Source organism: Homo sapiens, chromosome 9 (assembly GCF_000001405.40).
Source record: "Homo sapiens chromosome 9, GRCh38.p14 Primary Assembly".
Taxonomy (NCBI): Eukaryota; Metazoa; Chordata; class Mammalia; order Primates; family Hominidae; genus Homo; species Homo sapiens.
In genome coordinates, this window is record NC_000009.12 from 113,149,697 (window position 1) to 113,166,913 (window position 17,217).

The 17,217-nt window shown below is 47.8% G+C and overlaps 2 protein-coding genes across 4 annotated transcripts in view, besides 2 other annotated features; one reads left to right on the top strand and one right to left on the bottom strand.

Annotated features, from left to right (window-relative positions):
• Positions 1-1,310: 1,310 nt before the first annotated feature.
• On the top strand, positions 1,311-14,444 carry SLC31A2 (solute carrier family 31 member 2). The gene is made up of 4 exons (NM_001860.3): positions 1,311-1,384; positions 8,031-8,097; positions 11,813-12,002; positions 13,053-14,444. Exons 1-4 carry the CDS (start codon positions 1,379-1,381, stop codon positions 13,219-13,221), a joined length of 432 nt encoding a protein of 143 aa, NP_001851.1. The 5' UTR covers positions 1,311-1,378; the 3' UTR covers positions 13,222-14,444.
• Positions 6,233-6,527: an enhancer, noted in NCBI's record as "tiled region #5302; HepG2 Activating non-DNase unmatched - State 23:Low". NCBI's record gives its function as "activates a minimal TATA promoter and a strong SV40 promoter by Sharpr-MPRA in HepG2 cells {active_cell/tissue: HepG2}" and the evidence as "EXISTENCE:reporter gene assay evidence [ECO:0000049][PMID:27701403]".
• Positions 8,227-8,428: a silencer, noted in NCBI's record as "fragment chr9:115920203-115920404 (GRCh37/hg19 assembly coordinates)". NCBI's record gives its function as "represses an EF-1alpha promoter that drives an FKBP-Casp9 reporter gene in an ReSE screen in K562 erythroleukemia cells {active_cell/tissue: K562}" and the evidence as "EXISTENCE:reporter gene assay evidence [ECO:0000049][PMID:32094911]".
• The window catches only part of FKBP15 (FKBP prolyl isomerase family member 15), a 60,272-nt gene continuing 54,364 nt past the window's right edge, over positions 11,310-17,217 (bottom strand). For 2 of the 3 annotated variants that reach the window (XM_006717019.2, XM_006717018.3), the window contains one exon: positions 11,813-16,459. In XM_006717019.2, coding sequence (XP_006717082.1) covers positions 16,382-16,459 — 78 coding nt within the window. In that variant the 3' untranslated portion in view covers positions 11,813-16,381. Of the gene's footprint in view, positions 16,460-17,217 lie in introns of all 3 variants that reach the window. The other variant, NM_015258.2, reaches the window with a different exon arrangement.

Below are 17,217 nucleotides of genomic sequence, written 5' to 3' on the forward strand. Positions count from 1 at the left end.
CCCTGAAGCTGCTCCATTAGCTTTCAGACTGAGAATCTTAAAAGCTGTGTGGGCCGGGCAAGATGGCTCACGTCTGTAATCCCAGCATCCCAGCACTTTGGGAGGCCGAGGCGGGCAGATTACGAGGTCAGGATTTCAAGACCAGCCTGACCAATATGGTGAAACCCCGTCTCTACTAACAATACAAAAATTAACCAGGCATGGTGGTGCGCGCCTGTAGTCCCAGCTACTCGGGAGCCTGAGGCAGGAGAATTGCTTGAACACGGGAGATGGAGGTTGCAGTGAGCCAAGATCGCGCCACTGCACTACAGCCTGGGCGACAGAGCGAGACTCTGTTTCAAAGAAAAGAAAAAAAGCTGTGTGACCCTGAGGATTCTACCATTTACTGAACAAGCTCCCACTGCCAGGTTACATGATAATTTAACATGTATGTTTTCATTTAATCCCTATGACATAGATTTTATTATTATTTTCATTTTACTGACCAGAAAACTGAGGTTCAGAGATGTAAGCTATTTGCCTACGGTCCCAAAGCCAATAGTTGATGCGTATGGATGTGAACTGAGGTTAGCTCCAGGCTCAAGGTCTCTGCTAATACTGTCCTTAGTAAGGTTTCTCTGAAGAGCCTCTTTACTCATAGGCTGATTAGCAAAGGGTTCCTAAATATGCTTAAGAATCAATAACCATTAAAAATCCCTCACCCTACAAGAAACTCCCCATCAAAAAACTGGATCAGTGAAATGAACAGGCAATACACAGAAATGGAAGTACCCGTAAGAAAAATAGTTTACTACCCTAGTAATCAAAGAAAAACAAAATTACACGGGTGTATTCCTTTTGGCTTATCAGATTGGAAAATATTTTTCTAAAAAGAAAAATGTAATTATCTTGTAATGACTACACTAAAAATCTAGGGCATAATTGACTTAATTTACTCCAAATGTGTTGCTATTGCGTCCATAGCACGGACTTGCCCATTTCAACTCAATATATGTTACGCTTGGGGTAGTTTATTACAATGAGCAATAAACATTCTCATAATCGCCAAGACAAGCCAAGTGCAAAACAGGAAGGGCGAAGACAGAGGGCAGCAGGTGGTCCCTCTCGCTCGCGACTCCGGGAACGCCAAGCCTCAGCCCTTGGGAACCTGGGGCGAGGCGCCTGGGTCTCGGCCAGGGGGCGCGCCCGAGGACGCCGAAGTAGGGCGCGTGTGGGGACCACAACTCCCAGGCGCCCGCGCGCCGCCTCGCCCGGACCACGTGATCCGTGCGGCCAGGGTAGCTATCGCGGCGGCGGCGGCGGCGGCGGTTGAACTGACTCGGAGCGAGGAGACCCGAGCGAGCAGACGCGGCCCTGGCGCCCGCCCTGCGCACTCACCATGGCGGTAAGGGCCGGGCGCTACGGTGAAGAGGGTGGGCGGTTGGGGCGGGGTCTCCTGGAGCTGCCATCTCGGCACCCCGAATCCTCGCTGCCGCTGGCCCGGGGCTGGTGAAGGGTGTGTTGGCAGCATTGCCAACAGCTGGAACAGGGTTGGGGGACGCGGCAGGTATAGGTTGCGGTGGCTCTGTGGTTTTCCTCTTTATTTGTCCCTCCTGCTGGGAGGCAGTCCGGCTAGGCGAGCAGTTACCGAGCGCCCGCGGTGGCGCGGCTTGAGAGTGGGGGCGCGGTGGCTGAAGACAGCTGGGTCCGGGGCCCCCGGCCCCGGACCTCTGGCCGGCGCCCCAGGGCGGAGAGCAGCGCCTTGGGAGATTCCAGGAAGGCTTCCACGAAAGGGAAACCCCCGGCGCATTTCAGCCCGCAGCCCCGCGCGCACACCGAGCGCACATCCCCGGCCCTGCTCTTGTCAAGTTTGTAGCCTGATTCTTCGGGGAATAAAACAGAACCAGCTACTTTCCAGCTTCCCTACACTTTCAGTCAGAAAACAGCGTTTCAGACAAGCTGTTTTTCTTGGTAGGGTTCACCTGGGCTGGAGAGAACGACAGCTTGCAAGACTCGTTCGTCTTTGAAGAAGTCATATCATTTTCTTCATCCCATGAAGAATGTCATAGAATTTAAGATACAGGAAGCTCAGCCTGGGCAACATAGCTAGACCCCGTCTCTACAAAAATTAGCCACAAGTGGTGGCAGGCGCCTGTAATCCCAGCTACTCGGAGGCTGAGGCAGGATGAGGAGGATTGCTTGAGCCCAGAAGTTCCAGGCTGCAGTGAGCCATGACCTTCGGCCTGGGCAACAGAACAAGACGTCCTCAAACAAACAAAACAAAAAAAAAAAGATATAGGAAGTGTATGTAGGCCATTTAGTGAAATGATCAGCCGTCCTTTAAAAAGGGAAATAGATGGAAAGCACTTGCAAAAGTTCCCCAGCCAGTCAGCCTAGCAACTGGGACCTTCATCTCCTTCCCAACCCTTGTTTACAAATAAGGAAGCTTTTCTCAAAGTGTAAGTAACCCCAAATGAAGAAATATAGAAGAAAACAAGTTCCAGGGATTGCTCCCTCCTTCACCACAGCCCCACCCTGAAAAAAGCACAAATCAGTTAAACTTTCAGAGGCCAAGATTCATCCCAAGTAGGAAAACAAGATTGGGGCCCTGCCCCTTGCCTATCTGACCACAAAGCCCTTTAATTGAAAACTGTAGCCCAGATCGCTTCTCTCAAGTCAGGGTGTGCTGACTTCCATCTTTTCCTCTAGCAAAAAGGCAAAAGTAGAAAGGGTTGAGTGACAGGTGAGTCTTCGTCCCTCTGGGGCTTCGGACTCCGTGGGTGTTTCCAGCTCTGAACAAACCATACAGTTCATCTTCCCAGCTATCTCCTGCTTCTCTGGCTTCAGAACCATCCTAGCCAACTGCTCTCTGGCCAGGGCAGGTGTCTCTCAGGCGGCTTGGTCCCCAGCACCCCCAGGGAGCCTCCACTGTGCCTCCCTTTCTCTGACCTACAACCTGTTGTAATTATTTGCTCACTTAAATGTCCCCCCTCATAGACAGGTAGCTCCCTAAGGGCCAAAGACTTGTCCCATTCATCTCTGTATCGCCAGGGTCTGCACAGACCTAGCACAACAAAAAGAAATCTTTCAAATTACTCTTACTGTTCTGTGGGTGTTCAGGTCTATGGCAAAACATGTCTGGGCTGTTTTGGGCTCCTAAGATAACTGGCCCAGGCCCAAGGATGATAGAAGGAAACCAGTTATGGCAACTCCCTGACTGATTAATTAGCCACTAGGGACATTCCATTCATACCATCTGCTTTACCAAATGGACTCAGAGAAGGGGTGATGGGTGTCACCCCTACCTCTACCTGGCAGAGATGGTGCTAGAGGCTTCTGCTGAGGATGAGGCCATCTCCGGTGTAAATGGAGTTTCACAGTATTGTTTGTACCTGTTTGGTTTTGTATATCAATCTTGCGTAAACATTTTGCTGTGTCAAAATGTTTTTTTTTTTTTTGAAAGCCTAACAGGAGAGATCTCTGAGTAGTAAGACTCAAAATGATTTTTTACTTTCTTTTCGGTACTGTGTCAGCTTTTTACATTGAGCTAGTGCCATTGGGGGTGGGGGGTAAAAGCTATTCTTATTTTTAAACTCTTCAACATTTTTTAAAGTCTTCAACATGATCTTTATCATGTTGTGATGTGACCGCCTAGATTTCCATTTTGAAGCTCTCATATAATTTACTTGACCAGTCCCTACTGGTTGACAGGAGACCATCATGGTTCCTATGATTTCTCAAAGTGTGACCCCCAACAAACACCTGTCCTAGAAACACCTGTCCCAGAAACACCCAGTACACTAAGGTTTGAGAACCAGTACAGGCTTTCCAGAAAACTCTCTGGCTCTGGGTACCTGATTGCCGAGTGACCATGGGGAGATAAGTGGGCTTTTATGTACCTTCCTTGTTAAAGAGGTTAATAATAGTAGGCACCTGCGGAGATGTCACAGGGAGTGACACATAATAAATGGAAGGTGAACGTGGTACAGGCACATGCAGTCCCTCAGAAGACACAGAGCTGTGTGGCTGTTCTGTCCAATCAGATGCTTTCACATTTCTTTCTCTGTCCTGCAGCTCCACGGTCTCCAGTGAGCCCAGTCCCTGGGTAGGCGCAGGCAGGGGTTGGTGACACAAGTCAGACCCCTTTTGGCACTGAAAGGCATGTTAGCTGAGTGTAGGGAGTAGAACAGCCAGGTTAGTCCCAGGTCTCTACCAAACCCCAGGCTGCAGCGTCCAAATCTGAGAGATGCATAGATGTGGTGCCCCATCCAACCCGGAAACAGAGGCACACTCACTGTTATTGTTGTTGTTTTTGAGACAGAGTCTTACTCTATTACTCAGGCTGGAGTGCAGTGGCATGATCTTGGCTCACTGCAACCTCCACCTCCCGGGCTCAAGTGATCCTCCCACCTCAGCACCTCCCAAGTAGCTGGGACTACAGGCACATGCCACCACACCCAACTAATTTTTGTATTTTTTGTAGAGACAGGGTTTTGCCATGTTGCCCAGGCTAGCACTTTTTTCTTTTACAAGGTTTCAGGAAGAGTAGATAGAGTTCAAGATGGGAGCCTGTGAAAGTGAGGCCAAACCAAGGGAAAGGGTTCCTAGAGTCCTGTCCTCATCTTACAGACGAGGAGACTGGGTCCACAGGGGGCTTTCTGCGTGTCAGCAGCTCAAGGCCACGCAGCTGGTTCCTGGCAGAGCTGGGAGGGAGATCCAGGCAGTGCAGCTTTAGAGACCGTGCCCCTAACCACTAGCCTTGCTGCCTCTGTTCAAACTGCAACAAAGTGAACTGAGCCTCAGAATCTCCTGAAGGGGGCTGGTTAAAATCTATGTCTTCCCTGTCTCCTGTGGCTCTGACCCTGGACTCTGATTTAGGGGCCTGAGGAGGCCCAGGAATCTGTACTTTTAATAAGGCCCTGGAGTCTAAGCAGCTGCTGCTGTCCCTCTACACTAAGCCGCTTGCCAGTGTGGAGCTCATGATTGGCCTGTGGTTTCCCAGTGATTCACCCGGGACTGACTCTGCCTCTGTGGATCCGGCTATAACAGCATCGTCATCCACACCTGTGATCCGCTCCAGTGTCCTCCCTCCCACCCTATCCTCTTTGCCTTTTCATCCTGTTGTCCGCTGTTGTCCCTGGGCTCTGGTCTTACTGTCCCATCCCCAGACTGGTCCTTGTTTGTTTCCTTTATTTAAGGTGCACTCTTCATCTTTCTCAGGAAATATGGGCCAGCTATTGGCTGAACATCCTTCGGGGGCTAAGCATGACTATCCTAATTGCACAGAGGCTTTTTCTCATACATTCCTTCCTCTCCCCAATTTCTTCCCATATTTTGTTCCAAAGTGGCCATATCAGTTTCTTCTGCTGTTTGCATATCTTCCTGAAATGTTAAAACAACCGAACGACAGCACAGCCCTCATCTCTGTCTAGTATTGCACAAGAAAGTGGGCTGTTCTCTGTGTTGTAGCATCTGTTTTCCTCTTGCCAAATGAGGGCCTGGTAAGAAGACCCAGGATCCAGTCCTGATGCTGCCACCAACTCACAGTGTGACCCTGGGCATGTCACAGCTGCCCCTTGGACTTCCAGTGCTGCCCTGAGAAGCTGCATTGAGAGCAGTTAGGAGCACAGAATCTGAAACCAGCCCACCCAGGCAAAATTCTAGCTAGCAACTTGGCAAGTTACTTAAACTCTGTCTGCCTTAGTAGTCTCATCTATGAAATGGAGCTAAGAATAATAATTCCCCTCTTGAAATTGAGTGAGTTAAGACATATAACATTTTTAGAAGAGTGCCTGGCACAGAATAATCAGTGTCATTTCCCTCCCAGCATGAAAAAAGAGGGTTGCTCTAAATTAGCACTTCCTAGAGGATAGTCTATGAGATTCTTTCCCACAGGGCACTCAGCAAGAGAAAAAGGGGAGGAGAGAGTTCTGGGTACAGGCTTCTGGCAGTGCAGAAAGCTATTAAACCTTATTTTGTCTAATTCCAGTCTCTCTCAAACTCCCTTGACCATAGAATCCATTTTTCCCAGTACCTCCTAGCATCCTGTACTTCTCCCATGGAACACTTCTGAGAAACACCCCTCCAGCTTTGACATGTATGGGAAAAAAAGGCACTGGGGTTATTGAGCCCTTACTGTGTGTCACTTTGTGTGGATGGCTTTGCAGAGTTTTCCCCCAGCTCCCCTCGGAGGAAACTGAGGCCAGAGAGAGGCCCTGGTTAACAAATGTGTTTTGTTCCAAATCCTGGACTCAGACTACTATTCTTTACTATCTCCTTTGGTCCTAACTGTTGAGAGGGGGAGGATTGGAGACGACTAGAACATGCAAGGCCTGTGGTTTAGGGCTGTCGTCTGCAAGCAGAAGTTTGTGGCTCTGGTTTCCAGGAGGCTACAGGACACCCACATGGCACAGCTTCCTGACAAAATGGCAGCTAATCAAATCTGCCTACCTTTCCACCCCCACACTGACGTTTGCCTCCACCGGAACTCCTTTTCTGTAAGAACTGATGGCCCCCACAGCCTTCACAAGTACCCACAGTCTCACTCCATATCTTCCTCCCTTGAACAGAAACTGAGAGTAACCCGCTTATAAGGAGGTCCGGCAAATCCTTTTCCCTCTTCATACTCATTTTCCTCACCTGGAAATGAGAGGGGGTGGAGAGGGACTCAAGTTGGGCCAGATCAGCATTTTTCAAACTGAGTTTCATCAGAGCTCATATTTCTCTCCCCTCTCCACCCTGAGCCCCGTGTTTTACATAATGGAATTAGAAGAAAGATTTTAATTGGCTGGTGTTCCCTGGTGAAGAAAGCTGAAAGCCATGGGACTAAAAACTCTGAGGATACCTCTAGTGCTGAGATTCAAGGATTCTAATATTTGGCCATTGTCTTAGAAGGCAAAGGCTTCCACTAGCTGATTACAACTCAGCCAGGATCTCCTTAGCTGGGTAACACTGACAGTGTTTGCAGAACTGCTTGTGCTAGCTGAGGGCTTACCTGGGGACCAGAGGGGGCCTTCACTTCCCTGAGAGGGTGAACTAACTGATAGATCTGTTGGGCCCTCATCTTTCCAAACAGTCATTAAGCCTGGTGTGGGCGTCTGAACTCACCATCCAGCTCCCACTGTACCCTCCTTTCTTGGAGATTGGGAGGAAGCACCGTGTCCTGGAATGTCCAGGGCTTTGGAATCCAGCTAGACTCAGGTTTGAATCCCAGCTCTGCCAACTTACTAGCTTTGTGACCACCAGTAAATTACTTCTCTAAGTCTAGTTTCCCTAACTTTCCTTCCTGTAAAATGGACCTAATTGTCCCTGTCACACAGAGGACTGTTGTGACAATGAAATGAGATGATGTAGAAAAAGCCCTTGATGCCACCCTGAACACAAGGTGGAGCAAGCACCCTCTGAAAAGGCATCTGACAGGCACTGCATGGTCACTGCTTTTACCTGCAGTCTTTCCTGTAAGGCTGTGAACTCACCAAGGTCAGAGACATTAACCTACTTCCATAATGCTTGGCACACAAACTGGGCTCAGCAAATGTATAGTGAATGAGTAGGCAGATGTGGAGTACAGTGAAGACAGCTGCCTCTGGGCCCCTCCACGATAAACACTGTGGGATCTGTCTAGACTGAACAGGACAAAGAGGACTCCAGGCTTCCATCACACGGGAGCCTGTTCTGGAGCTGCAGCAGAATGGCTAGGGTCCCGGGGGGGTAAGAAGAGGCAGTTGCACTTGGAAGGCATGGAGGGGACATCCCCACATAGTCTGAGGACACTGTCACATCCCGAGCCAGTTGGTCCAGTGAGGATGGACACTCCCACACCTCTATTCTCATATGGAGCATGGCCAGCTCAATTATAGCTCTGCTGCTGACCCTCTTGGGCAAGTCTCAGCTCTTTATGGCCTCAGTTGGCCCTGATGACTTCTGATGGCCCTTCCAGCACTTCCAGTGACCCCATTTTTCTGGGCTCCCAGAGGAGGTGCTGGAGAGCATTAAGGACCGTAACTTCCACTGCCCTGTGCCCCTATGATGCAGATTCCTTTCTCTTTCAGATGCATTTCATCTTCTCAGATACAGCGGTGCTTCTGTTTGATTTCTGGAGTGTCCACAGTCCTGCTGGTAAGAATTGGGGACCTCAGACTTGTAGCTTGGAAAGCCTTGTAGTACTAGGCAAGGGAGAATCTGGGTTCTCTTGATTCTCTGTGGGCATTTAAGTGAGGCTGATTCCTCTGGCATAAACACTGAGCAGGAACTTCACAGTTATAATTCCATTTGTAACCACTCCCCTTCAGATCGCAAAGGGCTCCATTATCTTACTGATCCTCACAAAGGCCGAGAGGCAGGGAGGCAGCTTTTCCCTCTGTTACAGGGCAAGAAACTAAAGCCCAGAGACAGGAAGAGAGACTCGTGCAGGGTCACACAGTAAGTACGCATCAGAGCCACTACTAGATCAAGGCCTCCGGGTGTCACCTGGCACCTCCCTTATCCAGGGCTCATTGTTCTGCACCAGTTCAGAAGCCCACAGCAGCTGCTGGAGATGAGACACCAATTTGAAAGGAAAGAATATTCCTTTGATTTGAAAAGGCAGAGTTTGTCACTAATTCATGAAGAAGTTATTTTTCAACTTAAATAACTGCATCTTAAAAAGAGACTGGAAACAGCCCAAATGCCCATTATTGCGGGTGCAGATTAAATAAATTATGGTCAGCCCTACAATGGGTTACTATTTCTTGTTATCTATTGCTGAATAAACAGTGGCTTAAAACAAGTCATTTTATCATTCTCTCTCAAGGTTCTGTGAGTTGACTGGACCCAGGTGAGTGGTCCTTACTGAAGGTCTCTCATGCAGTATAGTCAAACAGTGGCTGGAAGTAGGGTCATTTGGAAGAGTTCCTCACTCTCATGCCAAGTGGCTGATACTGGTTGTTAGCTAGGACCTCAGCTGGAGTTGTTGGCTGAACACCTACATGTGGCATCTCCTATGGCCTGGGCTTCCTCGTGGCAGAGTGGCTAGATTCCAAGATCGAGTGTCGCAAGAGAACAAGGTAGAAGTACGTGGGATTTTCAAGACCTAGCCTTGGAAATCAGATAAAATTACTTCTACCTTTATTGGCTGAAGCAGTCACGAAGGTCTTCCTAGGCTAAAGGAGAGGGAACAAACATGGACCCCACCACTTGATGGCAGGAGTGTTGACATCATAAGAAGGGGATGTGGGGTGGGATACATTGGAGTGGCTGTCTTTGGAAAATGTAATCTATCACAGATACGATGAAGCCACTGGGGAAAAGGTAAATCTGTGTGAACTGAGGTAAAACTGGATGATAAAGTCAAATGCAAAACAGTATGCGTAGATAGGATGCTGTCATTTGGACAAACAGAGGCTGATATATACATTGAGTAACAGAGGTTGCTCTGGGGAGGAGAATTGGGGTGAAGAGAGATTGGGGTGGGAAGAAAACTGATCTTTCTCTTTTTTTGAAATGGAGTCTCTGTCGCCCAGGCTGGAATGCAGTGGCGCGATCTTGGCTCACTGCAATCTCCACCTCCCAGGTTCAAGCAATTCTCTTGCCTCAGCCTACCGAGTAGCTGGGACTACAGGCAGGCACCACAATGCCCAGCTAATTTTTCTGTATTTTTAGTAGAGACAGGGTTTCACCACGTTGGCCAGGCTGGTCTCAAACTCCTGACCTCAAGTGATCCACCCACCTCGACCTCCCAAAGTGCTGGGATTACAGGCATGAGCTACCACACCCGGCCTGAATTTTCATTGTATTCTTTTTTGCACTGTTTGAAGTTTCACCATGTACATGAAATTACCTATAATTTTATGTTTTAAAAACCTGCATCTGTCAGATGATTTCCTCCTGGGAGCCTGTGGGAAAAAAAACCCAACTTTTTCCTTTTCCTACGCTCCACACACTTCTGTGACCAGATGTGTAGGCTTTCCCTCAGTGACAACTTTTCTGATACCAGCTGGGTGTCCTACAACTCAGTTCAAATCTGACACTAACCAGAGTTAGTGCAGATCCCACAAGTTAAGGGTACAGTCCCACAAGGCTGCCCCCTGCTTCAGGCACCAATTGCAAGTCCCAGCTTGTCTCCCGTACTTCTGGCCAACTGGCTATATGTCAGGGTTCCCATAACGCCTTTGTTGGGATCAATTATTTGATAGAATGGTTCACAACACTCAAGGAAACACTTAAAAAGAGTACAAATGGGCCAGGTGTGGTGGCTCATGCCTGTAATCCCAGCACTTTGGGAGGCCGAGGCGAGTGGATCACCTGAGGTTAGGAGTTCAAGACCAGCCTGACCAACATGGTCAAACCCCGTCTCTACTAAAAATACAAAAAAATTAGCCAGGCGTGGTGGGGGGTGTCTGTAATCCCAGCTACTTGGGAGGCTGAGGCAAGATAATTGCTTGAATCCTGAGGCAAGATAATTGCTTGAATCCAGGAGGTGGAGGTTGCAGTGAGCCAAGATTGCGCCACTGCACTCCAGCCTGGGCAACAGAGCGAGACTCCATCTAAAAAAAAAAAGTACAATGAATAGCTGTGTGGAAAAGATGCATGGGGCAAGGCATGTAGGAGGGGGTTCAGAGCCTCCAGGCCCTCCCTGGGCTTGCCACCTTCCAGGTACCCCCATGTGTTCACAGCAGCTGGAAGCTTTTCAAATCCTGTCCTTTTAAAAAAAATTATTCATATATAATAGTTGTACATGTTTTGGGGTACACGTGATATTTTGATACCTATATACAATATGTAATGATCCAATCAGGGTGACTGGGGTGTTTATCACCTCAAACATTTATCTTTGTGTTGGGAACATTACAATTCTATTTTGAAATATACAATAAATTATGGTTAACTATAAATTTCCCTACTGTACTGTCGAATACAACAACTTATTCCTTCTATCTAAACTGCATTCTTTTGGGTTTCTATGGAGTCTTCATATGGAGGAATGATTGATGACCTCATTGGCCACTGGTGATCAATTCAACCTTCAGTCCCTGTCTCCTTCCAGAGGTAGGGAGTGGGGCTGAAAGTGCCAACCTCCAAGCACAAGTTTGGCTCCCCTGGCAACCAGCCCCCATCCAGGAGCCTCAGCCATCAGTCATCTCATTAGCATATAAAAAGACACCACTTGACAGCGTTTCCAAGGGTTCTAGAAGTCGTGTGCCAGGAAACCAGGGCAGAAACAGGATATATATCTCTTATTATGTCGCAGAGTCCAGTAAAATACTTTAGCTGGACCACTTATTATCCCTCTTAGTGAAACAAAAGTAGTAATTAACAGTTAATTTTACACAGCAGCTCTAATAAGCACTTGATAGTTTTGGTAAAATAATTTATTGGGTTTTTCCCCTATTATAAAAGTAATATATATAAAAGAAACCTTAGAAAGTTAGGCAAGAACATAAAAACCACCTGTATCCTACTTTGCTGAGATAACTATTACTCTTGTGCTATTTATCTTTCCTTCCAGACATTTTTTGCATACTTACATATAAATAGGACCTTGCAGTACTCATCACTTAACAAGAAGTCACGACAGATTTGTGCAGCCTGCTGGGGGAGTGGGTGGGGTAATGGTACGTGGCTTCTTCACCCTCAGCCCCTGGATTTTTCAGGTGGCTTCTCTTCCTGATCTCAAAGCCACACTCCAGCTAAGAAAAGTCTGGTGAAGACAGTGAAGAAGTTCGGAACTCAGCAAGGGTGGGGAAGAAGGTGCAGGATAGAGGTGGATGGAGTGGATTCCATGAACAGGTGGAGGTGCTGGAAGGGAAACAGTGCTGGCCTGGCCAGGTCTCCACAACTCTGCCTCCTTTGACAGGCATGGCCCTTTCGGTGTTGGTGCTCCTGCTTCTGGCTGTACTGTATGAAGGCATCAAGGTTGGCAAAGCCAAGCTGCTCAACCAGGTACTGGTGAACCTGCCAACCTCCATCAGCCAGCAGACCATCGCAGAGACAGACGGGGACTCTGCAGGCTCAGATTCATTCCCTGTTGGCAGAACCCACCACAGGTACAGGCAGTGGGTATGGGAAAGGGGCAGAAGCCTCACATTCACCCTGAGAGACAGGCTGGCCCAGACAGCATTAGCCCCACTTCACAGAGAGGACAGCGAGGCCCAGGGAAGGACCAGGACTTGCCAAAGTGGCTACACATAGCCAAGTGAACTAGAGCTCATGTCTCCTGATGCCCAGGCCAAAGCACTCTGTGAACAGCCAGCCACTTGAGAGGCTCAGAAGGCTTTCTTTAGGGAACAGTGATCTTCAGGTGCAGGCCCCTATCTAGCAAATGAGGTGGCCACCCACCCTCCCCCAAATCTCACCAGTTCCATGGGTCACTAGGCTCCCATATCCAGGAGGGGATCTGCAGCTGTCCTGAAGCAATGTATCCCACTTGGTGGGAGGAGGATGACAAGCTCTCCTCTCCTCCCTTCCCACTCGAATCAGGCAACCATTTAGGGTCCCTGTTCTGCCCTCTGTCCAGCCCCAGCCTCACCTGTGCTTAATAAGCCTGCCCGCTCCATCACTAGCCACCCTACATGGGTGTCTCAGATCTTCACAACTGCACTGCAAGGGAAGTATTCTCATTCCTGTTTTACTGATAAGGAATCTTACGTTCAGAGAGGTTAAGACATTTGTCTAGGCCACTTTTAGTTAGTGGCAGGTCTAGGAACTGATAATGTCACCTAAGACCATGCTTTTTCTTTCCATTGTCATACTGCCTCCCGAAGTAGATTCAGGGGGGAAATATGCCTTACTGATGATTTTCTCTTATTCCTTATCAGAAAGACAGATTATAGATACCCTCATTTTCCCCTTTGCCTAGGATGCCAGGAAGCTTGAAACCAAATGTAGTGAAGATATGTCTCTTTAAAAATAAATCTCGAGTTTTTTCTGGGGGCGGGGGTGGGAGGGGCAGAAAGAAATCACTCCTGGGTTAAGCATACAAGTTATAAATCAATCGGGTCACGTAACTCAACAGCTTTCTACTCCCTGATATCTACTCCCAGCTTCCTCATTACCAGCTCATTACCAGGATTAACTTGCTTCTCCTTTTTATCTAGGTGGTATTTGTGTCACTTTGGCCAGTCTCTAATCCATGTCATCCAGGTGGTCATCGGCTACTTCATCATGCTGGCCGTAATGTCCTACAACACCTGGATTTTCCTTGGTGTGGTCTTGGGCTCTGCTGTGGGCTACTACCTAGCTTACCCACTTCTCAGCACAGCTTAGCTGGTGAGGAACGTGCAGGCACTGAGGCTGGAGGGACATGGAGCCCCCTCTTCCAGACACTATACTTCCAACTGCCCTTTCTTCTGATGGCTATTCCTCCACCTTATTCCCAGCCCCTGGAAACTTTGAGCTGAAGCCAGCACTTGCTCCCTGGAGTTCGGAAGCCATTGCAGCAACCTTCCTTCTCAGCCAGCCTACGTAGGGCCCAGGCATGGTCTTGTGTCTTAAGACAGCTGCTGTGACCAAAGGGAGAATGGAGATAACAGGGGTGGCAGGGTTACTGAGCCCATGACAATGCTTCTCTGTGACTCAAACCAGGAATTTCCAAAGATTTCAAGCCAGGGAGAAGGGTTCTTGGTGATGCAGGGCATGGAACCTGGACACCCTCAGCTCTCCTGCTTTGTGCCTTATCTACAGGAGCATCGCCCATTGGACTTCCTGACCTCTTCTGTCTTTGAGGGACAGAGACCAAGCTAGATCCTTTTTCTCACCTTTCTGCCTTTGGAACACATGAAGATCATCTCGTCTATGGATCATGTTGACAAACTAAGTTTTTTTTATTTTTCCCATTGAACTCCTAGTTGGCAATTTTGCACATTCATACAAAAAAATTTTTAATGAAATGATTTCATTGATTCATGATGGATGGCAGAAACTGCTGAGACCTATTTCCCTTTCTTGGGGAGAGAATAAGTGACAGCTGATTAAAGGCAGAGACACAGGACTGCTTTCAGGCTCCTGGTTTATTCTCTGATAGACTGAGCTCCTTCCACCAGAAGGCACTGCCTGCAGGAAGAAGATGATCTGATGGCCGTGGGTGTCTGGGAAGCTCTTCGTGGCCTCAATGCCCTCCTTTATCCTCATCTTTCTTCTATGCAGAACAAAAAGCTGCATCTAATAATGTTCAATACTTAATATTCTCTATTTATTACTTACTGCTTACTCGTAATGATCTAGTGGGGAAACATGATTCATTCACTTAAAATACTGATTAAGCCATGGGCAGGTACTGACTGAAGATGCAATCCAACCAAAGCCATTACATTTTTTGAGTTAGATGGGACTCTCTGGATAGTTGAACCTCTTCACTTTATAAAAAAGGAAAGAGAGAAAATCACTGCTGTATACTAAATACCTCACAGATTAGATGAAAAGATGGTTGTAAGCTTTGGGAATTAAAAACAAACAAATACATTTTAGTAAATATATATTTTTAAATAGTCTATGACTGTTCTGTTCTCCTAATTCCAACAGAAAGCACATGAACCCTTGTAACAACTGCAGGGGCTGAGTGGGGCTAATAGAACTGGTAGTACTCTTTATAAGCCTGTCTGAGGACAGAGTCCATCCATCTGCTACAAAGACAACTCTGCTCAGGGAAACCCAGCCCTGAAATGCTGCACCCAGGTAGACACCCCAGAATGCCAACTGAGGCAAGTCAAGTCATTCTTCATTCATGTAACAAGTATTAATTGAGTACATGCTATAAGAAAAGTAACTGTCACACGGACTTTAAGCACCTGTGTTGGCACAATTACTCAGCATCTTCTCTCCCTGCGGGCAGAAGCAAATATAATAGCCACTAGTTAATTTACAATAAGAAATAACTGCCCTAGAAAGTAGACTATGTCACACCTTTAGGACTGATCAGGGCATTCCCCCATGTTTGCAGGGAACTGGAAAGCTGCCTGGTGTCTCAAGAAGCCTGTTTCTAAAAGCATCACCGCCCCTTCCCCCAACCAGTGACAGTCAGGCTGTGCTGGCCAAGAGCCCAGGCTCTGGAATCAGATGGCCAGGATTTGAATTCTTGTGCTGAGGCTTCCTAGATATGTAACTTTGGGCAAATTACTTTACCTCTCTAAGTCTCAGTTTTCTCCTCTATAAAATGGTGATAACACTGTCTTCTGCAGTGGTTGCTGGAGATAAGCCAGTCTGTGAAAGTGCCAAACAGCACCGCCTTTTGTTAAGCAACAAAGAAATAATTAGTTCTCACTGCCTCCCAGGTCCGCACACGGGAGACATATCCAAAGCCTGCAAGGATGATGCCAGGCCAGATGAAGTGGAATTTTGGGTCCTATCTTTTAAAACATTTAAAATCAAGAAACATTTTTTATTAAAATTAATTATTCTGTTTTTTTAAAGACTGATTGCATAATCTTTGGAAGATCCTGGAATCAAGAAAATGACCACAAGTATTTTCTCACTACTGTTCTCTGCATAAGTCCTGGTCCCATGAGTTCTAAGGGAATGGAAGCTGCTCTCAAAGTGAAGAATCCCTCAGGTGCCATGAACAATGGAAAGAAGGGACCCTCTCACCTTCTTTGCATGGCTTCCTAGACTGCAGGACTAAGCCTGCAGGAGCAAGAGGATGACTGGACTGGTCCTCACAGAACCATCATGCCCCAGGGATGAGCTAGGACTACAGTGGTGACTTTCTTTGAAAGCCTAAAAGTTCCAGGGTTAGGTATCAAAGGGAGTAAATATGCCACAACGTTTTGTGCACATTAACTGACCCAGATCTGTAAGACTCCTACCCTTAGATTCCCAAAAGAGCACAGACAGCCCTTGGAACCAAACTCAATTTTTCTCCAAGGGCTTGGGTCAAGTTTCATTATAGACATTTATTTTAGTTTTATTTTCAAAGTCATTGACCTCTTGTATCAGATTTAAGGCAAAGAAGAAGATACATGTCCCAGGACTATAGGCCAGGCTGTTGACTGCACTGGGATTTAGATGGTGTAATCTCCCTTAGTTCTACCAGGGAGACCTCAGCCCAGGTCTTGTTGCCGGGGCACAGTTGAGCACTGGATTCAGGTAGAGGAGGGCTCCCAGGTCAGTCTGAGAGTTAATGAAGAGATTAAAAAGTCTGGCAGAGGACAGGACTCTTACAGGTGACTGGCTTGGAGGGGAACCTACCAGTCCTTCTTCCAACTTGCTGCTGAAATCCCAGTGTTCTTGAAGACAGGGTTATGATCCTCTTCACCAGGTCTGGCGGGGGTGGGGCTCAGAAGGTGGCCAACCCACCCTCTGAGCCCAAATATTGTTCCCAGAATGCTCACCTTGACCTCACCCTGTGGTTCGCCTAGACCCAGGGTTGGCTGTGCAAAATCATGCTTAGGGAAGGGTTGCAGAGAAACCTTTGCACCAGTTTCCTGGGTCTTCATCCCAGCCAGTCAATGTCATCGTCATCATCATCATCTCCAAAAAGGGGCGTTGGGGGCGGGCGTCCCTTCATGCTCTGATAAAACAGGAAAGAGCAGTCAGTCCTCACTTGTGCCTGCACCACTGGACTTTCCACCTGTGAGTGGAAGCAATCCAACTTCTGTTCCCAGCTCTGGGTCAGAAAGGAGGTTGTACTGACAGGGCCAACTCTGAGGCCAGCAAACCTAGGCTTCCAGATAAAGCTGAGACCAGCAGGCAGAGAAGGGAGGCAGTCTTTCAACAGAGACAAAAGATGAACTTTGTTTGGCTAATCTCATCATTTATTTATGAAGCACATGTACTGATTTGACAGATTTTCCTCTCATGCAGTAACTTACACATTTTGTGTGGAGAAAGAAGGGTCAAAGAGGAAACACTGGAGCAGTAGGAAGAAACAGAAGCAAAGCAGCCCTGAGAGAGCGAGAGGAAGTGGGAAGAAGGGAGGTTGGGAAGAAGACAATCACATATGGAAAAATACTGTCGTCGTGGCCTAAGGTGGCCTGACTGGCTCTGGGTGTGATCCCATCATTTGAAAGAGTTGAATTTGGAGGCTTGGCCAACTGGAGAATCCTAAGAGGTGAAGAACACGGGGCCACAGCCTCCCACACCTCTAGCCTGACTGGCACCACCCTCGCTCCTTCCAGCTAAGGTAGTGGGGGTGAAAGGGACTGATGGGCCATGAGAGACCCTCTCTTTTCACAGCTTGAGCTCCTGGCCTTTCTCCTCTGGCTTGGCAAGGGAACAGGACCTACCCGGCTAGCAGGGATTGATGCTACAGACAGGCACGAACTGAAT

Excerpts from the sequence above, each read along its gene's own strand:
- SLC31A2 (NM_001860.3), top strand. Across the intron at positions 8,098-11,812 it reads GAGTGTCCACAGTCCTGCTG|GCATGGCCCTTTCGGTGTTG; the intron begins GTAAGAATTGGG and ends CTCCTTTGACAG. Across the intron at positions 12,003-13,052 it reads GTTGGCAGAACCCACCACAG|GTGGTATTTGTGTCACTTTG; the intron begins GTACAGGCAGTG and ends CTTTTTATCTAG.